The sequence below is a fragment of the Homo sapiens genome, chromosome 1 (assembly GCF_000001405.40).
Source record: "Homo sapiens chromosome 1, GRCh38.p14 Primary Assembly".
NCBI lineage: Eukaryota > Metazoa > Chordata > Mammalia > Primates > Hominidae > Homo > Homo sapiens.
In genome coordinates, this window is record NC_000001.11 from 46,335,393 (window position 1) to 46,361,515 (window position 26,123).

The 26,123-nt window shown below is 47.5% G+C and overlaps 1 protein-coding gene across 22 annotated transcripts in view, besides 3 other annotated features; it reads left to right on the top strand.

The window, feature by feature from the left end:
- Positions 3,816 to 4,615: an enhancer, noted in NCBI's record as "H3K27ac hESC enhancer chr1:46804880-46805679 (GRCh37/hg19 assembly coordinates)". NCBI's record gives its function as "activates a minimal SCP1, AML or CMV promoter by ChIP-STARR-seq in naive H9 embryonic stem cells {active_cell/tissue: H9 hESC(naive)}" and the evidence as "EXISTENCE:reporter gene assay evidence [ECO:0000049][PMID:30033119]".
- Positions 5,276 to 5,485: an enhancer, noted in NCBI's record as "active region_999". NCBI's record gives its function as "activates an Ori minimal core promoter by ATAC-STARR-seq in GM12878 lymphoblastoid cells {active_cell/tissue: GM12878}" and the evidence as "EXISTENCE:reporter gene assay evidence [ECO:0000049][PMID:35858748]".
- Positions 5,415 to 26,123, top strand: part of NSUN4 (NOP2/Sun RNA methyltransferase 4) — a 44,393-nt gene continuing 23,684 nt past the window's right edge. For 6 of the 22 annotated variants that reach the window (NM_001387270.1, NM_001387266.1, NM_001387269.1 and 3 more), the window contains exons 1-5: positions 5,415 to 5,527; positions 9,409 to 9,752; positions 11,529 to 11,683; positions 17,476 to 17,636; positions 25,312 to 25,436. In NM_001387270.1, coding sequence (NP_001374199.1) covers positions 5,435 to 5,527; positions 9,409 to 9,752; positions 11,529 to 11,683; positions 17,476 to 17,636; positions 25,312 to 25,436 — 878 coding nt within the window. In that variant the 5' untranslated portion in view covers positions 5,415 to 5,434. Of the gene's footprint in view, positions 5,528 to 5,785; positions 8,903 to 9,408; positions 9,753 to 11,528; positions 11,742 to 17,475; positions 17,637 to 22,183; positions 22,268 to 25,311; positions 25,437 to 26,123 lie in introns of those variants that run through there. The other 16 variants (NR_045790.2, NR_170620.1, NR_170618.1 and 13 more) reach the window with 15 other exon arrangements.
- Positions 6,613 to 6,702: an enhancer, noted in NCBI's record as "active region_1000". NCBI's record gives its function as "activates an Ori minimal core promoter by ATAC-STARR-seq in GM12878 lymphoblastoid cells {active_cell/tissue: GM12878}" and the evidence as "EXISTENCE:reporter gene assay evidence [ECO:0000049][PMID:35858748]".

A 26,123-nucleotide genomic window follows, 5' to 3' on the forward strand; every position in this document is an offset into this window, starting at 1 on the left:
AGGATGAATTTGGCTTGTGGCTGTAGTTTGCCGCCCCATACTATAGACATTAAAAGGATAATAATGGAATATTCTGAAACACTTTATATGAAGACAATCAATACCTTAGATGAAATGGACACATTCTTTAAAAGACTAAAATTGTTGGGGCTGGGCTTGGTGGCTCATGCCTGTAATTCCAGCACTTTGGGAGGCTGAGGCAGGGGGATCACCTGAGGTTGAAAGTTAGAGACCAGCCTGGGCAATATGGTGAAACCCCGTCTCTACTAAAAATACAAAAATTAGCCGGGTATGGTGGTGCGTACCTGTAATCCCAGCTACTCAGGAGGCTGAGGCACAAGAATCTCGAACCTGGGAGGTGTAGGTTGCAGTGAGCTGAGATTGCACCACTGCACTCCAGCCTGGGTGACAGAGTAAGACTCTGTCTCAAAAAAAGAAAAAAAAAAGATTCAAATTGTCAAAACCAATGCAAGAAGAATTAGAAAGTTCAAATAGCTCTATATTAGGGTTTCTCAACCTCAGCACTGTTGATATTTAGGTTGGATAATTGTTGTGGGGAAGGGCTGTCCTGTGTATTGCAGGGTACTGAGCAGTATCCCTGGCCTCTACTGACTAGATGCCAGAATGACCACCCAGTTGTAACAACCCCAAATGTCTCCAGATGTTACCACATGTCCCCCAAGGGAGGGATAAAATCACCACTGCCCTATATCATTAAAGCAATTGAGCCAGGCACGGTGGCTCATGCCTGTAATCCCAGCACTTTGGGAGGCTGGGGCAGGCAGATCACCTGAGGTCAGGAGTTTGAGACCAGCCTGACCAATATGGAGAAAACCTCGTCTCTACTCAAAATACAAAATTAGCCGGATGTGGTGGCACATGCCCGTAATCCCAGCTGCTCGGGAGGCTGAGGCAGGAGAATTGCTTGAACCTGGGAGGCGGAGGTTGTGATGAGCCAAGATGTGCCATTGCACTCCAGCCTGGGCAACAAGAAGGAAACTCCGTCACAAAAAAAAAAAAAAAAAAAAGGCCAGGCGCAGTGGCTCATGCCTGTAATCCCAGCACTTTGGGAGGCCGAGGCAGGCGGATCACCTGAGGTCAGGAGATCAACACCATCCTGGCTAACATGGTGAAACCCTGTCTCTACTAAAAAATATAAAAAATTAGCCAGGCGTGGTGGTGGGCACCTGTAGTCCCAGCTACTTGGGAGGCTGAGGCAGGAGAATGGTGTGAACCCAGGAGGTGGAGCTTGCAGCGAGCCGAGATGGCACCACTGCACTCCAGCCTGGGCGACAGAGCGAGACTCCTCAAAAAAAGAAAAAAAAAAAAGAAATTGAGAAGTTGGTTAATAGGTACAAAAATATGGTTAGAGAGAAGGAATAAATTCTAGTATTTGATAGTAAAGTAGGGAAATTATAATTATAAATAATTTAGTGTATATTTTAAAATATCTAGAAGAATTATAATGATCCCAACACAAAGATAAATGTTTGTGTTTGAGGTGATGGATATCCCAATCCCTTCATAATTGATCATTATACATCATATACATGTATCAAAATATCACATGTACTCCCAAAATATGTACAATTATTATATATCAATAAAAATCACCAGCCTGACTTTGGGAGGCCGAGGCGGGCGGATCACGAGGTCAGGAGATCGAGACCATCCTGGCTAACACGGTGAAACCCCGTCTCTACTAAAAATACAAAAAATTAGCCGGGCGAGGTGGCGGGCGCCTGTAGTCCCAGCTACTCGGGAGGCTGAGGCAGGAGAATGGCGTGAACCCCCGGGGGCGGAGCCTGCAGTGAGCCGAGATTGCGCCACTGCACTCCAGCCTGGGCGACAGCGAGACTCCGTCTCAAAAAAAAAAAAAAAAAAAAAAAAAAAAAAAAAATCACCAGCCTGGCCAACATGGTGAAACCCTGTCTCTACTAAAAATACAAAAGAAAAAAAAATTAGCCAGGTGCGGTGGCGGGTGCCTGTAATCCTAGCTACTCAGGAGGCTGAGGCAGGAGAATCGCTTGAACCTGGGAGGCGGAGGTTGCAGTGAGCCGAGATCATGCCATTGCACTCCAGCCTGGGCAACAAGAAGGAAACTCCAACTCAAAAAAAGAAAAAATTAAAAAAAAAAAAGAAAATAGAAGTGAAGGGACATTTCCTAAATTCATTTTATGAGGCCAGCATTACCCTGATATCAGAATCAAACAAAGACTTTATAAGAAGAAAAAACTGCAGGCAAATACGACTCATTAACTCAGACCCAAGAATCCCAACAATCTGGGAGGCCGGAGCGGGCGGATCACGAGGTCAGGAGATCGAGACAATCCTGGCTAACACAGTGAAACCCCATCTCTACTAAAAATACAAAAAATTAGCCGGGCGCGGTGGCGGGCGCCTGTAGTCCCAGCTACTCGGGAGGCTGAGGCAGGAGAATGGCGTGAACCCGGGAGGCGGAGCTTGCAGTGAGCAGAAATAGCGCCACTGCACTCCGGCCTGGGTGAAAGAGCAAGGCTCCGTCTCAAAAAAAAAAAAAAACACACACACACACACAAAAAAGAATCCCAACAATATTTAAAAAGAATACTGTATCATCGGCTGGGCGCAGTGGCTCGTACCTGTAATCGCAGCACTTTGGGAGGCCAAGGTGGGTGGATCACCTGAGGTCAGGAGTTCAAGACCAGATTGGCCAACATGGCAAAACCCTGACTCTACTAAAAATATAAAAATTAGCTGGGCGTGGTGGCCTGCACCTGTAGTCTCAGCTACTCAGGAGGCTGAGGCAGAAGAATCGCTTGAACCTGGGAGGCGTGGGTTGCAGTGAGCCAAGATTGTGCCACTGCACTGCAGCCTGGGTGACAGAGCAAGACTCTGTCTAAAAGAAAAAAAATACTGTATTTGTATCATGAATTGATGTGTTTTTTACAAGAATGCAAAGTTGGTTCATATTGAAAAGTCAGTCAACATGATGCATCATAGTAATGGAATAAAGAAGTAAAACTGGCTGGGCGCAGGGGCTCACACCTAATCACAGCACTTTGGGAGGTGGGCGGATCACCTGAGATCAGGAGTTCGAGACCAGCCTGGCCAACACGGTGAAACCCCATCTCTACTAAAAATACAAAAATTAGCCAGGCGTGGTGGTGCATGCCTGTGATAACAGCTACTCAGGAGGCTGAGGCAGAATAATTGCTTGAACCTAGGAGGCGGAGGTTGCAGTGAGCCGAGATGGCACCACTGCACTCCAGCCTGGTGACAGAGCGAAACTCCGTCAAAAAGAAAAAAAAAAAAAAGGAGTAAAACTGTATGATCATCTTAACAGAAAAAAAAAAAAAACTTAAGGAAAATCAACAACTATCATGATTTTTTAAAATCTCAGCAAACTAGGAACAGAAGGGAACTTTCTAAACCTAAGAAAGGACATCTATACACATGCAGGTACACGCACACACAAAACTACAGCTAACATCATATATAATGGTGAAGTACTAAATGCTTTCTTCTTAAGAATGGGAACAAGGCAAGGATGCCTACCATCACCACTTACATTCAACTGTGTACTGGAAGTCCTAGCCAGTGGAATAAAGCAAAGAAAAAAAAAAGGGATATAGATAGAAAAGAAAGAAGTTAAAGTGTCTTTATTTACAAAAGACATGACCATATGCATAGAAAACCTGAACAGATTTCCAAAAAGTTACCAAAAGTAATAATTGAGTTTAGGAAGGTCTCAGGATACAAGGTCAACAGAAAAAATCAATTATATTTTAATATACTAGAATTTTTCTTTTGAGACAGAGTCTCACTCTGTTGCCCAGCCTGGAGTGCAGTGGCATGATCTCAGCTCACTGCAACCTCTGCCTCCTGGTTTCAAGTTATTCTCCTGCCTCGGCCTCCCAAGTAGCTGGGATTACAGGCATGAGCCACCATGCCCAACTAATTTTTGTATTTTTAGTAGAGACTGGGTTTCACCACGTTGGCCTGGCTGGTCTCCAACTCCTGACCTCAGGTGATCCACCCACCTCGGCCTCCCAAGTGCTAGGATTACAGGAATGAGCCACAGTGCCGGCCAGCCTTTTTCTTGAAAAATGAACAAAGTGAGCCTGTCACTTCAAGGAAAATAACTGACAGTATTTGTTGCCAATAAGAAAATTCCAAAATTCCACATTCAAATGCCAAATAAGAAAAAGCTTTCGGCTGGGGGCAGCGTGAGCCACCGCGCCCGGCCAAGTTTTGTATTATTTTTCTTAACTATGTCTTCTCAAATTGCGGAAGCGTTAGGCCCCACAACATTTGACATCACCAGTAGGGATCCAGTGGAGAGGAGGGACATGATCAGAAACTGTGTTTTTAAATGATCATTCAACAGCCAATTATCAGGGTGGGTAGGAGTGAGGCAGGGAGATCAAAAGGCAGGGAGATTGGCTGGGATTACAGGCATTGTTACCAGAAAGGGGTCCCGATCCGGACCCCAAGAGAGGTTCATGGATCTCGCACAAGAAAGAATTCAGGGCGAGTCCGCAATGCAAAGTGAGAGCAAGTTTATTAAAGTACAAGAATAAAAGAATGGATAGTCCATAGATAGAGCAGCTCCAAGGGCTGCTTGCCCATTTTTATGGTTATTTCTTGATGGTACGCTAAACAAGGGGTGGGTTATTCACGCCTCCACTTTTTTTTTTTTTTTTTTTTTTTTTGAGACGGAGTCTCGCTTTGTCGCCCAGGCTGGAGTGCAGTGGCGCGATCTGGGCTCACTGCAAGCTCCGCCTCCCGGGTTCACGCCATCCCTCAGCTTCCCGAGTAGCTGGGACTGCAGGCGCCAGCAACCTCGCCCGGCTAATTTTTTGTATTTTTGGTAGAGACGGGGTTTCACCGTGTTAGCCAGGAGGGTCTCGATCTCCTGACCTCGTGATCTGCTCGCCTCGGCCTCCCAAAGTGCTGGGATTACAGGCGTGAGCCACCACGCCCGGCCAGGTCCCGAAACTTAAGCTTCATTTGTTTCACTGCAAATCTGCTTCTGCCTACAAGCCTGGTCTCATTTTCCTCTACCTAAGGATCTTCCTCCATGCAATTTCGGCCTAGGAGGCCCTTCCCGCCCCTTTTCGCCTAGCTAACTCTTTCGGTACTCAACCACCAACTCCTAATCCTCCCTGGTCCCCCAAGTGGGCTAGGGGCTTCTTGGGAGTCCCTCGCACTGCTCTAAGCATCCAGGCAGAGTCATTATTCCGGGTGCCAGGTTGCTCTTTTTCCAGCAGCCTTCAGGGGACTCCTGGCTGGGCGGAGTCTGTAGAGGCGCGCGGAGTCCTGGGAGAGCGTCAGATGTATTTCCTTTCCCTTTTTTCGCTCGTGTCCCGCCGGGTGGCGCTCACCACCTCCCCGGAACACGCGAGTCTCCTGTCGCGGTTCCGGTCGGAATTACCCCGTGGAGCACGCCGATATGGCTGCGCTGACACTGAGGGGTGTCCGGGAGCTGCTGAAGCGTGTGGACCTCGCGACGGTCCCGCGGAGACATCGATATAAGAAGAAATGGGTAAGGTCCGGCTGGGGGCGCAGGAGGGAAAAGTGAGGGTGGAAACTTCTCCAGTCTTTCCGTTTCCCGGCCCTCTAGAACGCCTAGCGTCTTTCCCAAGCACTCCACGGAACGTCCTTAGGCACCTCCCTCTCTCGTCTTTTCCGTCACCGCCTCTGTCCGCACTCTATGTCCCGAGCGTTAGTGTCTTCCACTTGTTACGTCTGCAGTCTCCTGACTCCGCCCAAGTTGCGTCATCACCTTCGCCTTCATTCTTTTAGTGATGTCACTGTCTCTTGTTCCCCAGCTGTGTCCACCTACCTTTCTGTCCCCCACTCCCCCTTTTACTTCCCTCCCTCCCCTCCCCCTTTCCCTTGCCCATTCTTCCCCCACATGACTTCTCCTTTCCTCATTGATTTTCCAGCCCGGTCGCCCTCACCCCTCGGAAAATACCATAGCGACCTTGCCTGCACTCCTGGGTCTCCGCCGCCTTGCAGGAAAGGATTCAGCCCCTTCCTCAACCTCGAGCTGCCTCTGGCGACCGGGCAAGGTTACAGCGACCACCCTGTCCATACTGCCGGCCCAAACCCTGGCAAAAGGTGCAACGAATCCTCTCATCCTCTGGACTCTCCTTGCTTCTCCAGAGACCCTTTTTCTTGCCTCACTGGAAGCCCTGGAATTTCTTCTATGACCGGCACGCCCCCCTGCCCACCCCAGCCGATTCCCTCGCCACCTCCACCATCTCTTCCACCCCCACAACCTTCCTCGCACTCAGGGAGATGGTCTTTTGAGTCCTCTTCCCCACTCCTGGAAAGGACCTACTGCCGCTAGCCCTGCCACTCGGGTTCCCCACTCTCCAGCCCTTATTTTGAGCAGTTCAGCATTCCGGGGTCACCCCCTCTCTGTCAGCGGACACCTTATTGCAGCTGGATGAGTCCCTCCAGAATGCGGCGTCCCTGTCTTCAAGGCACGTACTGTGACCAGCACACTAATCTCTGTTACTCTAGCGGATGGCCTTCAGCTTTTGGAACCAGCCCGGCAACCTCCTTTCCCCTTGCTCATCAGTCCCCGGGAACGAGCCCAGTGACCTCCCCTCAGCTCACTCATGTACCCTTGGAAACTGGACCCATGATTTCGCCTCCTCCTACACATAGGACCCCGGGAACTTGCCTCACGATTTCACCTCCTCTTGCTCGCCGGCCGGTGGAAACTAGTCCTATGGCCTCCCCAACCCTTTCTCACAGAGTTTTGGAAACTGGGCTGATGATCTCTCTGCCCTCTCACTGGTTCTCAGGGAGAAGTTATAATGACCCCCTTCTCTCCCCAGCATCTTCCCCACCTACTGGCAGCTTTTACCATGGCAGCCTTAAGCCTCTAGACTCTTGTGAACCCAAACCACAGCTTGACCTGCCCCTTGAGAAAAATTGTTGTGGCTTCCCACTCTCTTCTCAGGCAGGCATGCCTGGCTCTCCCAGCTCACCTCAGGAGGGCTCTTATCATTACTCCCATCTTTCCTCAGAGGCCTACATACCTACCCCTGGGAGTCCTTGCTATGCCATCTGCCTGTGCCCCGGGAGTACTGATTCTCCTTGCTCACCCCAGTCCCAGGCTCCCAGGAAGGCTTGCATTGAGTCCCTTCTCTCCTGGGAGGCAACTGGGAACTCTTACCTCATCCTAACCCCGGACACCACAACTTCTGGTCCCCCCTGTTCCCAGGAACCATCTCGTCCCCATGGTCCTCATTCTGTCCTTTCCTTCCCTTCACCCCTGGGCAACCAGTTTATATCTCCACCCCAGTCACTTCCCCGCAGAAGCTATAATGAACCCCCTCTTCCCACTCCAGTTTCCCCCCAACCGAAGTCCCCTAAGTCCCCAGAGTTAAGACAGTCACATACTCCCCACAAATGTCTCTCCCTAGTCAACACTCCCCAGCACACCCCTTCTGGCCAGCCCAAGCCCGCTAAGGCCCACACCTGTCCCCCACCTCCCTCCTGCCTCTCTGGTCCTTCTTGTATGCAGCCATACATCACAACTCCTTCAAATTCCAGCCCCAAAGAACTTCCCCCAGGGACTACCTTACTGACTGTGGTCCCTAGAGCTCTCAAAAGTGTTATCCCCACTTCTTTTCCCCTCTGCCTTCCTTGTGATCCTGTCTCGGCCAATAGTTATGCTCAGAGCAGCCGCCATGGACCCTCCATAGGGCCCCCCTGCAATACCCATATATGCTCTGTGGTTCCCTCCACCCCCCATCCCTGCCCACTGTCTGGCTCCCTCAATCATTCGACAGGCCCCCCTCCCATTGTGCCCCTGTGTGACACCTATAGCACTCCCAGGGGCCCACCCCAACCTCGTTGTCAGCCTGTGATGCCTCCTTGTTCTACCCACATCTATTCTTTTATCCCTTTGAGAACACCCTTTGATCCTCAAAGTTTACCCATTGTCCCCCGAGTCCGGGCCTACCCTGATACTGTCCCCTGTGGCCTCCATATCTACCCTGTGGCCTCTCAAGGCCCTTGCAAAGAGCCTCTGCAGATCCCCTACAGCTGCCCTTTGCCTTCATCCAAGGATTCCAGCTGTAGCACCAATCCCAGCTGTAGTTCGACTATTATTAGCAAATGCCAGAGTAGTGACAGCGAGAGCAGGAGTTCCCACCAAAGCCAAAGCCGGAGCCAAAGCAAGAGTCCCCATGATGGCAGAAGTCAGAGCTGGAGCAAGAGGCATCATCTGAGCAGAAGTCCAAGTCAGAAAAGCAGTCCCTATCCTAGCAGAAGCTGGGGCCGGAGCAGTAATCCTCAACAAAACACAAGTCAGGGCCAGAGTGAGAGTCCCCAACTTAGCATAAATGAGCACCAGGGTGAGAGTCCCCAAATTAGCAGAGGTCAGGGCAAGAGCAAGAGTCTATGATGGCAAAAGTCGGAACCGGAGCAAGAGTCCCCAACATGGCAAAGGTCAAGGCCAGAGCAAGAGTCCCCAACATAGCAGGAGCCAGAGCAAGAGTCCCAGCGAGGCAAAAGTCACAGAGCAAGAGTCCTCACCATAACAAGAAATGAGGGCCAGAGCAAAAGTTCTGACCAGACCAAAAATCTAGGCCAGAGCAAGGCATAGATAGTAACAAGATTGCCAGCTATAGCAAGCATCCCAGCTGCAGCAACCAGGACCGACTTGTGCACTCCTCATCTGAAGTCTTCATTTCTCTTTTACTCTGCCTCCTTGTTCTTGTCCTCTTGTCCCCTGCTACCCCCATAGCAGTCATCCTAGAAGTCCCTGTTTTGGTTCACACCTCAAGATTCTGTGGGCCCTCCTTATCCAACCTTTCTGGGGTCTGGGAACTCTCCCAGCATGACCCTCAAACCTCTGATTCTAAGCATGGTGGTGCTAGTCACTGTGTGACGCTAGGTAAGTTACCCACATCTCTTCATCAAATTGAAATGTTGTTAATTTTTTTTTGTATCTTACTGAGCTATCAGTTGTAGTGCTCACATAAGCTAGTAGACATGAAAGTGCTTTGAAAATAGAACTGTTCAGAAGAAAAGGGCCTTTTGCTTTTAAGTTCAAAGCTTCCCAGAGCCTCCATAGTTTCTCCTAATCTTCTGCAGGCTCTCCTCAAGAGTCCTCTCCTGAGCTCCCATATTCCTAAGTTCCTCTTTCTCCAAGGTCCCCCTTCTTGATGACCCCCGCACAGTACCGTGAGAGTTACATCTTTATCTGACAACCCTGGGATGGGAAGGCCCACTCTCCACTACTTTTCCCTCTCACACTTCTCTGGCAGGCAGGCAGGATGCAAAAGCAGGAGTGGGCACTAGCTGGATCCAAGTTTGCCCCTAGGCTCTGAGGTGGGGGTCAGGTAGTAGGGGGTAGAGTCAAGACTGGGAAAACCAATAAGCCTGTCCTCTCTCTTTTAGGCTGCCACAGAGCCCAAATTCCCTGCTGTTCGACTGGCTTTGCAGAATTTTGACATGACTTACAGTGTGCAGTTTGGAGATCTTTGGCCATCAATCCGTGTCAGTCTCCTCTCAGAGCAGAAGTATGGTGCACTGGTCAATAACTTTGCTGCCTGGGATCATGTAAGTGCTAAGCTGGAGCAGCTGAGTGCCAAGGATTTTGTGAATGAAGCCATCTCCCACTGGGAACTGCAGTCTGAGGGTGGCCAATCTGCAGCCCCATCCCCTGCCTCCTGGGCCTGCAGTCCGAACCTTCGATGCTTCACTTTTGACAGAGGGGATATCAGTCGCTTCCCTCCTGCCAGGTAGGATCTGGAGCCATGACTGGAGCGGTCCTGAGTGTCTGCTGGAAGTAGACATGTTGAGACCCAGCTTCTACCCTCTGTAATAAGGACCATAATATTGCTAATATTTATGGCATGTTTATACAGACTAGGCATTTTTTTGAGGTGCTGTACATATGTTATCTCTTTTTGTTCTGTCAGCAGCCTTATGAAGTAGGTAATATTATTGCTGTTTTACATTTGGAGAAACTGAGGTACAGAGAAGTTAAGATTCTTACTTGCTTTAGGTCCCTCAGATGGTAAGTGGTGTGACTAATATTTAGACCCAGAACCTGCACTTTGAACCCACTCTGCTCTGTGCCTCTGGTAGAAAACAGCCACCTTTTACATGAGCACTCACTGGGCCCTCTCAAGTTGAAATGTGTTATTCACAGCAGTCTTCTCATTTTGCCCTCACAGCCACCCATCAAAGTGAATAGGAAAAGTAACTTCATGGTAGCAAAGAGGTAGTGGGACTTTCCTAGGAAATAGGGCTGGTCTAGGGGCACAAACTTGGTATTAGACTGGGAAAAAGAAAGGAGAAGTTCAGTTTCTTGATTCAATCCTCATGTATATGAAGTTGAATGAGAAAAGACTGCAGAATCAAATGCTGAATTATGCTTTAACAATTAAGGAGAGCTCAATGTTAGTTGTAGGGTATGGGAATTGATTTTTGAAAGACTGATTTATTTATTAAAAAATATTGGCCGGGTGTGGTGGCTCACGCCTTTAATCCTAGCACTTTGTGAGGCTGAGGCGGGCGGATTGCCTGAGCTCAGGAGTTTGAGACCAGCCTGGGCAACATGATGAAACCCTGTCTCTACTAAAATACAAAAAAATTAGCTGGGTGTGGTGGCGTGCGCCTGTAGTCCCAGCTACTTGGGAGGCTGAGGCAGGAGAATTGCTTGAACCCAGGAGGTGGAGGTTGCAGTGAGCTGAGATCGTGCCACCGTACTCCAGTCTGGGCGACAGAGCGAGACTCTGTCTCAAAAAAAAAAAAAAAAAAAATTATCTACCAAATGCTAGGCATTTAAGTGCCTTGATGAACAAGCCCTCATAGAGCTTCCAGTTTAGTGAGGAAGACAGCTATTTAAAAACAATAATTGGCCAGGCACAGTGGTTCACACCTGTAATCCCAGCACTTTGGGAGGCCGAGGCGGGCAGATCATCTGAGGTTAGGAGTTCAAGACCAGCCTGGCCAAAATGGTGAAACCCCATCTCTACTAAAAAATACAAAAAATTAGCTGGGCATGGTGGCACAAGCCTGTAATCCCAGCTACTTGGGAGGCTGAGGCAGGAGAATCACTTGAATCTGGGAGGCAGAGGTTGCAGTGAGCCAAGATTGCGCCACCGCACTCCAGCCTGGGCAACAGAGCGAGACTGTGTCTCAAAAAAAAAAAAAAAAAAAAAAATTAGCCAGGCATGGTGGCGGGCACCTGTAATCCCAGATATTCAGGAGGCTGAGACGGGAGAATCACTTGAACCTGGGAGGTGGAGGTTGCAGCGAGACGAGATCGTGCCACTGCGCTTCAGCCTGGGTAACAAAAGTGAAACTCCGTCAGTCAATCAATCAGTAAATAAATAATCATTCTGGCTCCCGTATAGATGAATGAATAAGTGAATAAGTAAGTGTGGGTCTGAAAAATGAGTTTTTGGTGATTGGAGCTCAAGCCCCAGAGGGCATAGACTTGGTGGCCTAGACTCCCAGTGGGTGTCCTGACCTGGAATTTAACAATAAAGTGGTCTCCTCTTTTCCAGACCTGGCAGCCTGGGTGTCATGGAGTACTACCTGATGGATGCTGCCTCCTTGCTGCCTGTTCTGGCCCTCGGCCTGCAGCCTGGGGACATCGTGCTTGACCTATGTGCAGCTCCTGGGGGAAAGACACTAGCGTTGCTTCAGACTGGCTGTTGCCGTAAGTCAGGGTGCTGGTGTGTTGGGCAGAGAGAGCTCCCCACCTCACCTAGTCCCAGGTACATTTAATATGGTAGGTTCGGCCAGGCGCAGTGGCTCCCGCCTGTAATCCCAGCACTTTGGGAAGCCGAGGGAGGCGGACCACCTGATGTCAGGAGTTCCAGACCAGCCTGGTCAACATGGTGAAACACCATCTCTACTAAAAATACATAAATTAGCTGGGTGTGGTGGTGCACTCCTGTAATACCAGCTACTCAGGAGGCTGAGGCAGGAGAATTGCTTGAACCCGGGAAGTGGAGGTTACAATGAGCTGAGATCCTGCCACTGCACTCCAGCCTTGGCGACAGAGTGAAACCCTGTCTCACACACACACAAAAAAAGAATATGGTAGGTTCTCTAGTCCCAAAGTCAGAGTGGAGGGTAGTACTTACTTTCTAAGCTTGTGTATTTTTTCATTAGTTCCTCTCTTTCTCTGTCAATTGGTCAAGAAAGATTGCTGAGCAAGTTCTCTGAAGTCAGATTGAAGTAGGGCTCTGATCAGTTGATCACATGATACACACTCCTCTTCATCTGTTTACTTTTCCTCTAAGATTAAGCCCATTTCTTTAGCCTACCAACTAAAATGATAAGATCTGCCTGCAGCCACCATTTATATGCTTTATATGTCACTCTTCTAGGCTTTATGTGCTTTAACCTTACTCTGCTACTCTCTGTTGCCTTTGCTCTTGTTAAATTTTCTCCCTGGAATTCCCTCACCCTTGGCTGTCCAAATCCTTTTGACTTTCTTTTTTTTTTTCTTTCTTTTTTTTTCTCTTTTTTTCGAGATGGAGTCTCACTCTGTCACCCAGGTTGGAGTGCAGTGGCACGACCTCGGCTCACTGCAAGCTCCGCCTCCTGGGTTCACGCCATTCTCCTGCCTCAGCCTCCCTACTAGCTAGGACTACAGGCGCCCACCACCACGCCCAGCTAATTTGTTTTTGTACTTTTAGTAGAGACAGGGTTTCACCCTGTTAGCCAGGATGGTCTCAATCTCCTGACCTTGTGATCTGCCCGCCTAGGCCTCCCAAATTGCTGGGATTACAGGCATGAGCCACCGCGCCCGGCCCCTTGTGTCAAGTACTCACTTCAGCCATCCACTGGCTGATATCCTGCCTGCCCAGTCATCCTTTTGACTTTCAAGCCTCAGCTCAAGTGTGCCACCTCCTGGACGTCTGTCCTTACGACCTCTGCTGGCCGGTTCAGAAATGATGCCTGTCTCCTACGCTCCCACAGCATGGGTATCGCCCTTGCAACATTAGCCTTGCCTTAGGGCTTTACTAGTTATATATCTTCTCCCTCTTAAAGATGATGGATTCTGGCCGGGCACGGTGGCTCACGCCTATAATTCCAGCACTTTGGAAGGCTGAGGCGGGTGGATCACCTGAGGTCAGGAGTTCAAGACAAGCCTGGCTAACATGGTAAAACCCCGTTTCTATTAAAAATACAAAAAATTAGCCGGGCCTGGTGGTGGGCTAATCCCAACTACTTGGGAGGCTGAGGCAGGAAAATCGCTTGAACCTGGGAGATGGAGGTTGCAGTGAGCTGAGATCACGCCATTGCACTTCCGCTTGGGCAACAAGAGCAAAACTCTGTCTCAAAAAAAAAAAAAAAAAAAAAAAAAAAGTGGATTCCTTGGGGATAGGCCCACATCTTATTTGTCTCAGTAAAGTAGCCCAGCGAAGGCCTTGTGCACTGTTTTTTTTTTTTTTTTTTTTTTTTGAGAAGAAGTTTCGCTTTTCTACCCAAGCTGGAGTGCAGTGGCACGATCTTAGCTCAATACAACCTTCGCCTTCTGGTTCCAAGCAATTCTCTTGCCTCAGCCTCCTGAGTAGCTGGGATTACAGGCACCCACCACCACACCCGGATAATTTTTGTATTTTTAGTAGAGATGGGGTTTCACCATGTTGGCCAGGCTGGTCTCGAATTCCTGACCTCGCAATCCACCCACCTCGGCCTCCCAAAGTGCTGAGATTACAGGTGTGAACCACCGCGCCCAGTCTTGTGCACTGTTTTTTTTGGTTTGTTTTTTTGTTTTTTTTTTTTTGAGACGGAGTCTTGTTCTGTCACCCAGGCTGGAGTGCAGTGGCGTGATCTCGGCTCACTGCAAACTCCGCCTCCCGGGTTCATGCCATTCTCCTGCCTCAGCCTCCCAGATAGCTGGGACCACGGGCACCCGCCACCATGCCCGGCTAATTTTTTTGTATTTTTAGTAGAGATAGGGTTTCACCGTGTTAGCCAGGATGGTCTTGATCTCCTGACCTCGTGATCCGCCCACCTTGGCCTCCCAAAGTGCTGGGATTACAGGCGTGAGCCACCGCGCCTGGCGCCTTGTGCACTGTTAAGTACTCACTTCAGCCATCCACTGGCCGATATCCTGCCTTAAAATAGATAGTTTTTTTCCTTTGGCCCCTGACAAAGGGCCGTAATTTACACACCTAACCTGGAGCTCAGCCAGGCTTCTCTTGCCGTGTGCCCAAGCCCTTCTGTTGGACCTAGACCCTTCTTTTCCAGGTCTTGTCAGCCAGCTTGCACAGTTTGAGTCAGCATCCAGCCTTATGATAGGCATTGGTTGATTCAGAGAGATATCACATTCGGTCATAGCCTTCTGGAAGTCCAGAGGGAGAGAAGAAAAGGTGGGGTCATGGGCTTAATGAATCCAATGCAAGAGAGCCCAGCCTGTGTGCTGGACAATTCTTATCTGACTGAATGCTGTGGGAATCCATTAGAAGGGAGATGAGTAAGGGTAGGGTTACTTGGAGGAGGAGGAACTTGAACTAGGAGGAGGAAGAAGGGCAAAGAAGAAGTAATTGAGAGTTGTTCTTCTAAGGCATGCTTAACTATCAGCACCTCACCTTCATCCCAGCTCCTCATCAAGCGACAACTCTTGATCCGAGGAAAACGGGATCACAGAATTTGTATAAGAAGGGAAATTAGTGTTTACTTAGTCTAGCCCTCATATTTTATGGAGGGAGAAATTGAGTTCTGTGGAGATTAAATAAATAATACAAGAATTGGAGGTAGAGCCAGAACTGGAACCCATCTTTCTTTTTCTCAGTTCATATCCTTCTGCAAATTCCTCTAGAGCAGAGAATACAATTTTTACTTCTTTGAGTGCCCTCAAAAATGGAGACATTGGCCGGGGGGCGGTGACTCACGCCTGTAATCCCAGCACAAGCTAGGAGGCTGAGGCAGGTGGAATACTTGAGTCCAGGAGTTCGAGACTAGCCTGGGCAACATAGACCTCATCTTCATTAAAATAAAAAAAAAGGAGACATTTATTTATGGGATTACTAAGCTGGTTCATAGTAGTGACCACTATTAGATAAGGTGGACACTTGCATCTCGCATTCTTTACCATTCCCACCCTACCTTGTTGTTCTTTGACTCAGAGGCCAGGTATCAAGTGTCATTTATCATCAAGCTTGCAATATTTTTCTCATAGTAGCACTAAGAGCAAAGTGAGATATTTCTTGAACTCATGTCTACCAATAAAGAGAAAATGAAAGGTAGATGGTAAATCAGAATTAGGTTTGGTTGCATTTGATAGAAAACCTAACTAATTGGCTTAAAGAGGAAACATTAATTTATCTCTTACATAAGAGAAGCTGAGATATAGGCACTCCAGGTATGGAGGCTCCACAATTATCAGGGACTTAAGCTCCCTTTTTCCTTTTGCAACGTATTTTGTTGCTAGTGTCAGCCTTAGCCTCCCTCCCTTTAAGAGGGAGAAGATATGTAACTAGTAAAGCTCTAAGGCAAGGCCTCATGGTCCAGAATGACTGCTGGAAGTCCAGCCATCACATCCATATTTGAGTCAAGAGGAAAGGATTGGGCAAAAGAGACTCATTTCATCTCCCAATTATGTCAGCCTTTTAAAAATATCTTCCCAGAATTCCTATCCAATACTTATGCCTACAACTATGACCAAAAGTTAGTCATATAGTCATACTTAGTTGTAAAAGAAAGGCTTAGCCGGGTGTGGTGGCTCACACCTGTAATCCCAGCACTTTGGGAGGCCGACGCAGGCAGATCACCTGAGGTCGGGAGTTCAAGACCAGCCTGACCAACATGGAGAAACCCCGTCTCTACTAAAAATACAAAATTTGCCGGCGTGGTGGCGCATGCCTGTAATCCCAGCTACTCGGGAGGCTGAGGCAGGAGAATCGCTTGAACCCGGGAGGCGGAGGTTATGGTAAGCCGAGATCGCGCCATTGCACTCTAGCCTGGGCAACAAGAGCGAAACTAAAGAAAGGTTGAGAAATGTAGTCTTTTGGGGCAATTTTCCCCTTCCAAAAAATTGGGGTTCTATTAATAAGGAGGAAGAGGAGAATGATTTTGGCTAAATAAACTGTAGTATCTACCAAAGATGAAGAGAGCCATAGGTTTCCAGAATAGTGGGAGAGCATATTTTTTTAGAAATAAATATTCTTGGCTGGGCATGGTGGCCCACACCCATCATCCCAGCACTTTGGGAGGCTGAGGTGGGAGAATTGCTTGAGGCCAGGAATTCAAGACCTACCTGGGCAACATAGTGAGACCCAGTCTCTTTTTTTTTTTTTTTTTTTTTTTGAGATGGAGCCTTGCTCTGTCGCCCAGGCTGGAATGCAGTGGCGCCATCTCGGCTCACTGCAAGCTCTGCCTCCCGGGTTCACGCCTTTCCCCTGCCTCAGCCTCCCGAGTAGCTGGGACTACAGGTACCCACCCCCATGCCCGGCTAATTTTTTGTATTTTTAGTAGAGACGGGGTTTCACCATGTTAGCCAGGATGGTCTCGATCTCCTGACCTTGTGATCCGCCTGCCTTGTCCTCCCAAAGTGCTGGGATTACAGGTGTGAGCCACCGTGCCTGGCCTTCCAGTCTCTTTTTAAAAAATTATTTAAATATATTTTTATTTTTGTAGAAATGAGGTATCGCTATGTTGCCCAGGCTGGTCTTGAACTCCTGGGCTGAAGCAATCCACCTACTTTGGCGTCCTCCCAAAGTGCTGGGATGAGAGGCGTGAGCCACTATGCCCAGACTCAGAGACCCTGTCTTTAAAAAAAAAAAAAAAGAATGTGGCTGGGTGCAGTGGCTCACACCTGTAATCCTAGCACTTTGGGAGGCCAAGGCAGGCGGGATCACCTGAGGTCAGGAGTTCAAGACCAGCCTGGCCAACATGGTGAAATGCTGTCTCTACTAAAAATGCAAAAATTAGCCGGGTATAGTGGTGCACACCCATAGTCCCAGCTACTCAGGAGGCTAAGGCATGATAATCACTTGAACCCAGGAGGTGGAGGTTGCAGTGAGCTGAGAGTGTGCCACTGAACTCCAGCCTGGGCGACAGAATGAGACTCTGTCTTAAAAAAAAAACAAAAGGAAAGAGAGGGAGAGAAAGAAAAGGAGAGAAAGGAAAGGGAGGAAAGGGGAGAGGGAAAGGAGAGAAGAAAGGCGAAAGTAATGGGGAAAGGAAAAGGGGAAAGGGGAAAGAAAGGGGAGAAAGGGGAGAGAGGACAGGAAAGGAGAAAGGAAAGGAGTCTTACTTGGTCTGCTTTATTCATTGACTTAAATAACTTTGATACTTTCTGGCCCATTTAGGTGTTTGCCATTGTACCCCCACTCAGAATGACTGATGCTGTGCCATGCACATAATAAATGTTCCTGATGCTGGGGTTTGCATTGGCTGGGACTACCTGAGAATTGGTCTGACTCCATCAGCGCCATTGCTGGTGGAATGTTTCATTGGGTCATGGCCTCTGAAGTATCTTTATTTCCATAGGCAATCTTGCTGCCAATGATCTCTCCCCGTCCCGAATAGCCAGACTACAGAAGATCCTTCACAGCTATGTGCCTGAAGAGATCAGGGATGGAAATCAAGTTCGAGTTACCTCATGGGATGGCAGGAAATGGGGAGAACTGGAGGGGGACACCTATGACCGGGTGAGTGATTCTTGATTTAGGACATGCATCCAGCTTAATGCGGCCTCCCCATCCTGGTTCTAGGGCCTGAGGGGTTAGGATCCAGCCCCTATGTTTGAGCATGTAGAGCTGTTTCTGGACTGGCCAGTTCTACATTGGTGATTTGACCAAAAGAAAAATCAGCTTAGATGACTGGTTATTATCTCTATTAAAGATAGTTGGCAGCAAAAAAGAATTTGAAACTATTTGAGTAGGGGAAAAATTTACTAGGCTTACTTTATTTCTCAAGTCACTTGGTTGCTCAGAAAGCCTCATGAAGGTAAGTAAGAATAAGCTCATTTATTTATTTTTGAATGTTAGTACAGCACATGGTACAAAATTCAGAAGGCACAAAAGAGTATCCAATGAAAAGTGAGTTTTTCTCATCTGGCCTGTAGCCCCCTACTTCCCCACCCTATAGATAACGATTGTTTCTTTTTTTTTTTTGAGACGGAGTTTCGCTTTTGTTGCCCAGGCTGGAGTGCAATGGCGCGATCTCTGCTCACTGCAGCCTCCGCCTCCTGGGTTCAAGCAATTCTCTGCCTCAGCCTCCCGAGTAGCTGGGATTACAAGCGCCCACCACCACGCCCGGCTAATTTTTGTATTTTTTTTAGTAGAGACGGGGCTTCACCATCTTGGCCAGGCTGGTCTTGACCTCCTGACCTCGTGATCCACCCGCCTCGGCCTCCCAAAGTGCTAGGATTACAGGCGTGAGCCACTGCGCCCAGCCGGTAGTATATTATATTATACTCACTATTCTGAACTTTGTATTTTTTTATTTAATAATGTGTCCTGGGGTTAAATCCTTTTTTAATTTTGTTGACATTGTGGAAGTATAGTTGTTGAATAACAGTTTACATCCATTTAAGATTTTGATAGCGATTGCTAAATTTCTCTGTGGAGGTTAAACCAGTTTCACTCCTACTGGTAATGAATGAGTACTGATTTCCCACATGCTGCCAATATTGGTGCTATCAAACTTAATTTTTTTGCCAAATGGATAGTATCTAATTTACAATCTCTTATTAATCATGTTGAAAATCTCCATATTAATTTTTTTAAAGTTTTTTTTTTTTGAGTGGCAGGTTTTCACTTTGTCACCCAGGCTGGAGTACAGTGGTGTGAACACGGCTCACTGCAGCCTCAACCTCCTGGGCTCAAGGGGTCCTCCTGCCTCAGTTTCCCGAGTAGCTGGGACTAGAGTGTGCCACCATGCCCAGCAAATGATTTTTTGTAGAGACGGGGTCTCACTATGTTGCCCAGGCTGGCCTCGAACTCCTGGGCTTGAGCAGTCCTCCCACCTTGTCCTCCCAAAGTGCTGGGATTATAGGTGTGAGCCACTGTGCTGGGCCAGTCTCTTCATGTTTTTAAGTTATTTATTTTATTTTAAATGGCATACTCTAAAAATATTTGTTTAGAACACATATTTCTAAAAATATATAAAATATATAGCTGTTGTCTCTGTGTTGTCACCTGATTTACCTAATCTGTCTAGTTCTCACCATTCTGCCTCAACCACTCTAAGAAACTGAAAGAAAGACCAAGGCTTATGGAATCTTAGATAGGCTTGAGACTTGCTTTCTGCCTGTGTAGGAATCCCCTACTCATTTTTTTCTTTTTTTTTTTTGAGACAGTTTTGCTCTTGTTGCCCAGGCTGGAGTGCAGTGGCGCAATCTTGGCTCACTGCAGCCTCCGCCTCCTGGGTTCAAGCCTGGGTTCAAAGTTCGATTCTCTTGCCTCAGCCTCCCAGGCAGCTGGGATTACAGGTGTGTGCCACCACGCCTGACTAATTTTGTATTTTTTTAGTAGAGACGGGGTTTCACCATGTTGGTCAGACTGGTCTCGAACACCTGACCTCAAGTGATCCATTAGCCTCAGCCTCCCAAAGTGCTGGGATTATAGGCGTGAGCCACTGCGCCCGGCCTATTCATTTTTCTTGATATGAGAGCAGTGGAACATGATGGAGAGAGCATGACCTCTCCTGTCAGCCTAACCAGTTTCTACATTACAGGGGTGCTACTTACTAACCTTAGGCAAACTGTTGATCTTGCTGAACTTCAACCTCTTCGTTTGTGAAACAGGGTAATCCTACCACTTAGGATTATTGTGAGGATTCAGTGAGAGTATCCAGGGAAAGCACTTAGTATAGTACCTGGCGGTGAAGATTAGGCAAGCAGGACCCATTATCATTATTCAGCCTATGCTTAAACACATCCGTTGATGGGTGCACACTGAGATTCTGTTGTTGAACACTTACAATGTTAGGAAGTTCTGCCTCTTACTGCAATCTGTAGATAGCATGGTATATGGGTTAGGGCAAGGATTCTGGAGTCAGACTGCTTGGATTAGTCCTGGTTCCATTACTTATCAGCCAGAGAAGTTTCGGTGAGTTACTTAACTTTCAGTTAAGCTTCAGCTTCTTCATCTGTAAAATGAGGATAATAGTATAGTGCCTATCCCGTAGGTGAAAATTAAATAAGAATGCATTTGGCACAATGTCTGGAATATAGAAAACATTCAGTAGTAGTATAATCATCACAATCCTTACCATTATTATTATTATTTCCATTCATTGATCCTAGCTACTTATTTTAGAACAATATAGAATGAGTGACCTGCTATTTCACTTGACAGCTTTAATGTTTGAAGATGTCTTTGTTAACTTGTTTGTTGAAAAACTAGTTGTGGCCGGGCACGGTGGCTAACGACTGTAATCCCAGCACTTTGGGAGGCCAAGGTGGGTGGATCACCTGAGGTCAGGAGTTTGAGACCAGCCTGGCCAACGTGGTGAAACCCCGTCTCTACTAAAAATACAAAATTAGCCGGGTGTGGTGGCAGGCACCTGTAATCCCAGCTACTTGGGAGGCTGAGGCAGGAGAATTGCTTGAACCCGGGAGGCAGAGGTTGCAGTGAGCTGAGATCGCGCCATTGCATTCCAGCCTGGGGAACAAGAGTGAGACTTTGTCTCAAAAAAAAAAAAAAACTAGTTGTGTACAATATACTCTGTGGTAGGCAAGTGTTAAGCACTTTTATTTATTTATTTGAGACAAGGTCTTGCTCTGTTGCCCAGGCTGGAATGCAGTGGCGCAATCATGGCTCACTGCAGTCTTGACTTTCTGGGCTTAAGTGATCCTCCTACCTCAGCCTCCCAAGTAGTTGAGACTACAGGCATGTGCACCATGCCTGGCTAATTTTTTAACTTTTTGTAGAGATGAGGTCTCACTATGTTGTCCAAGCTGGTCTCGAATTCCTGAGCTCAAGTGATCCTCCTGCCTCAGCCCCCCAAAGCATTAGGATTACAGGTGTGAGCCACCGTGCCCAGCCGTGTTAAGCACTTTAGATGCAAAGAAGAATGCTACTTCAAGGCTGGGCGCGGTGGCTCACGCCTGTATTCCCAGCACTTTGGGAGGCCAAGGCGGGCGGATCACGAGGTCAGGAGATGGAGACCATCCTGGCTAACACGGTGAAACCCCGTCTCTACTAAAAATACAAAAAATTAGCCGGGTGAGATGGCGGGCGCCTGGAATCCCAGCTACTCGGGAGGCTGAGGCAGGAGAATGGCGTAAACCCTGTGGGGCAGAGCCTGCAGTGAGCCGAGATCGCGCCACTGCACTCCAGCCTGGGAGACAGCGAGATTCCGTCTCAAAAAAAAAAAAGAAGAAGAAGAAGAAGAATACTACTTCAGGGCTCTACATACTCTTGGTAACTCCATCCTTCTCCCGCTCCACTTGTCCATCAGCTGGAGAAGGGACAGGACCTCAGAGCTCTGCATGTTCATGGAAGACACTAACCCCCCCATGTCACAACTTTCTTTTTTATGTGAGCTCAAGTTTATTTCAAATAATACAATGTTTATTTGAACATGTTTCTATCTTCCCTTATAATACAATATTATACAAATTGATATTAATACAAATAATATTTGTTAGACACTTGCCCAGGGCTGAGATTCAGTGGGAGCACTATCCTGGCACGACTGGTTATTTATGACTGACATCCATGCCAGTGCCTGATGTGAAGATGCATGTGCCATATCTGATGTTGAGTGGTTTGACTACCCTCCCTAAATGTTTCCTAAGTGTAGTGCAACAGTACAACTTCCTTTTCTTTCTTCTGTGACTGAGTGAGATCAACATATTTTTTTATTTTTGAGACAGGGTTTCACTCCCATCGCCCAGGCTGGAGTGCAATGGCACAATCTCGGCTCACTGCAACCTCTGCTTCCTGGGCTCAAGCAATTCTCCCGCCTCATCCTCCCAAGTAGCTGGGAGTACAGGCATGTGCCAGCATGTCCAGCTAATTTTTTTGGTATTTTTTGTGGAGACGGGGTTTTGTCATATTGCCCAGGCTGGTCTCGAAATCCTGGGCTAAAGCCATCCGCCCGCCTTGGCCTCTCAACATGAACATTTTCCACAGTTAACACTACTGAAACAATATTAGAAATATATTAGAACCAAGATATTCAGATATATTGCCATCGATTTATAGTCCCCTTGAAATTACATAGCTCTGCTGTTTCTCTGCATTAGGGGCTCAGGAGTCCAGCGGTCCTAAGTATACCTTGCAGCCATCTTCCTAAAAGTTCTGACCATGACTGAGGACACTGAGAAGGAGTAAGGAAAGAGTCTGTAGACATTTCCTCCTTTTTGGGTTGGGGAAACTCCTACAGCTTTTTTTTTTAAAGGATTGCAGTTATACCTTTGCTCATCCCTTTATATTTAGGTCATTTCCTTTTAGGTGTATCTCTTATATGCTGCATAGACAGGTTTTGCTTTGTGAGCCAATCTATAAATTTTATTCTTTTCATTGCTGACTTAAGCAATTGATGCCATTGATGATTTTGGTCTCAGCTCTGTCAAATTATTATCATTTTATTTATTTATTTTTTGAGACAGTCTCGCTCTGTTGTCCAAGTTGGAGTACAGTGGTGCCATCTTGGCTCACTGCAACCTCCACCTTCCGGGTTCAAGCAATTCTTGTGCCTCAGCCTCCCAAATAGCTGGGATTACAGGCGCCCGCCACCATGCCTGGCTAATTTTTGTATTTATTTATTTATTTATTTATTTTGAGACGGAGTCTCGCTCTGTCACCCAGGCTGGAGTGCAGTGGCGCAATCTTGGTTCACTGCAACCTCCGCCTCCTGGGTTCAAGCGATTCTCCTGCCTCAGCCTCCTGAGTAGCTGGGATTACAGGTGCCCACCACTGTGCCCGGCTAATTTTTGTATTTTTAGTAGAGACAGGGTTTCGCCATGTTGGCCAGGCTGGTCTCGAACTCCTTACCTCAGGTGATCTGCCCGCCTCGGCCTCCCAAAGTGCTGGGATTATAGGCATGAGCTACTGCTCCTGGCCTAATTTTTTTTTTTTTTTTTTTTTTGAGATGGAGTCTCACTCTGTTGCCAGGCTGGAGTGCAGTGGTACGATCTCGGCTCACTGCAACCTGTGCCTCCTGGATTTAAGCGATTCTTCTGCCTCAGCCTCCCGAGTAGCTGGGACTACAGGTGCGTGCCACCACACCCAGCTAATTTTTGTCTTTTTAGTAGAGATGGGGTTTCACCATGTTGGCCAGGATGGTCTCGATCTCTTGACCTTGTGATCTGCCTGCCTCGGCCTCCCAAAGTGCTGGAATTACAGGTATGAGCCGCTGTGCCTGACACCTGTCAAATTATTTTACTGTGTTTATTTACCATGTTTCTTTCACTGTGGGGTCTCTGTCCTTGCTGTTTTGTTTTTCTTTTAACTTCTTTTGTTATTTAGGAAGGTTTATATTAATATTTTAATTCTACATTGGATAATTCCTATATCAAAACTATTGTTGACAATCAGTTACAGATGGAACTTCGTCTACTCTTTCTCCCCTTCTCACTCCTGCTCTTTCTCCCTTTCTCACTCCAGCAGTTGACTAGTCTCATTGAAAAAACAAATTGGGGCCGGCCAGGCATGATGGCTCATGCCTGTAATCCCAGCACTTTAGGAGGCTGAGGCGGGTAAATCACCTGAGGTCAAGATTTCGAGACCAACCTGGCCAATATGGCAAAACCCCGTCTGTACTAAAAAAATACAAAAATTAGCTGAGCGTGGTATTGTGCGCCTGTAGTCCCAGCTACTTAGGAGGCTGAGGTGGGAGAATCGCTTGAACCCGGGAGGTGGAGGTTGCAGTGAGCCGAGATCGTGCCATTGTGCTCCAGCCTGGGTGACAGAGCCAGACTCCATCCCAAAAACAAACAAACAAATAAACTGGGAATTTAGTTTTACTGGTTGCTGTTTCTGCTGACTTGCTCAAGGAGTCGTGTTTCCTTTTAAGTTTTGTGGTTATTTTTGTGTCCTGTAGTAAGCTTTTTTTTTTCTTTTTCGAGGCGAAGTCTCACTTTGTTGCCAAAGGCTGGAGTGCAGTGGCGCGGTCTTGGCTTACTGCTACCTCCGCCTCCCAGGTTCAAGCAATTCTCCCACCTCAGCCTCCTGAGTAGTAGCTGGGACTACAAGAGCGCTGCCACCACGCCCGGCTAAATTTTTTTTTTTTTTTTTGAGATGGCGTCTTGCTCTGGCGCCCAGGCTGGAGTGCAATGGCGCGATCTTGGCTCACTGCAACCTCTGCCTCCCAAGTTCAAGCGATTCTCCTGCCTTAGCCTCCCGAGTAGCTGGGATTACAGGTGTGTGCCACCATGCCTGGCTAGTTTTTAAATTTTTTGTAGCTGGGACTACAGGTGCATGCCACCACGCCCGGCTAATTAAAAAATTTTTTTTGTGCAGGTGGGGTCTCACTATGTTTTCCAGACTGTAATAACTTTCCTATTGGAGTATAATACAGAAGTGACCAAATCATAAGTGTACTGTTTAAAGAATTATCTTATAGTTAGTCTGGGCAACATAGCAAAATGCTGTCCCTACAAAAATACAAAAATTAGGCCGGGCATGGTGGCTCATGCCTGTAATCCTAGCATTTCAGGAGGCCAAGGCGGGCAGATCATGAGGTCAGGAGATCGAGACCATCCTGGCTAGCACGGTGAAACCCCGGCTCTACTAAAAATACAAAAAATTAGCCGGGCATGGTGGCAGGCGCCTGTAGTCCCAGCTACTCGGGAGGCTGAGGCAGGAGAATGGCGTAAACCCGGGAGGCGGAGCTTGCAGTGAGCCGAGATTGCGCCACTGCACTCCAGCCTGGGCGACAGAGCAAGACTCCATCTCAAAAAAAAAAAAAAAAAAAAAATATATATATATATATATATATATATATGTAAATTAGTCTGGAGTGGTGGTTTGCATCTATGGCCCCAGCTACTCAGGAGGCTGAGGTGGGAGGATTGCTTGATCCCAGGGAGTTTGAGGCTGCAATGACCTATGATCACATCACTGTACTCCAGTCTGGGCAACAGAGCAAGATTTGTCTCTAAAAATTAAAAAAAAAAAAAATTATAGTTACTTGTGTGTTAGTTTTGGGTTTTTGACCAGCCATGAATATTCCCAAATATACTATTTTCCACTCATTATTTCACAATTGTCTACCAAGTTAAAATGAAGAACTTTGTCAGGTACTCTGCAAAGGAGGGATGGGCAGAGGGAATATTTCACAAACTTAGGCCAGGGGCCTAAAACATCTCTGGCCTAAGGAAGAGAAGCCTATAAGGATCTTTAATACTTTACCCTTTAACACTCTGGGTAGGTGCTGGTGGATGTGCCCTGTACCACAGACCGCCACTCCCTTCATGAGGAGGAGAACAACATCTTTAAGCGGTCAAGGAAGAAGGAGCGACAGATATTGCCTGTGCTGCAAGTGCAGCTTCTTGCGTGAGTGACAGATTTTTAAACTCAGGACTTTGTGCCAGAGTGCTCTGGGAGACTGGGGGACTGGAAGCTCTTACCAAGACCATAACCCACACAAGAATCTTATGGCTGGAGATCTGCCTAGAGGAGACAGAAATGGGATCATCTCTGGAACATAAAAACCCTATTTGAATTAGCTGGGTGTGGAGATGCACACCTGTAGTCCCAGCTACTCAGGGGGCTGAGGGAGGAGAATCACTTGAACCTAGGAGGTGGAGGCTGCAGTGAGCTGAGATCGTGCCACTGCACTCCAGCCTGGGTAACAGAGCAAGACTCTGTCTCAAAAAACAAAAACAAAAACAAAAAAGCAACCCTATCTAGTAGGATATATATACTAGAGTGGGCTGCACAGATTGACTCATGCTATTTCATCCTCAGTACCAGTGAGTAGCACATGTTTGAAAAATAGCTGCTAGAGTAAGGACTCATTCTATAGCCAGCATAGCAATTTGGTCCATAAACAAGAGCTCAGGGGGTCATTGTAAGGAGACTTCCTAGTGAAGAGCTCATGGAGTAAGGTTGGGTTGCTATCTGCCTTGAGAGTGACTTTTCAGACAGTGTCATTGTGGAAGGGACTTGAGAGGCAGTCTAACCAGCTACCCATCCTGTAGTAGCCTTCCCTTATCCATGTTTCCAGCTCCTTATGTTGCT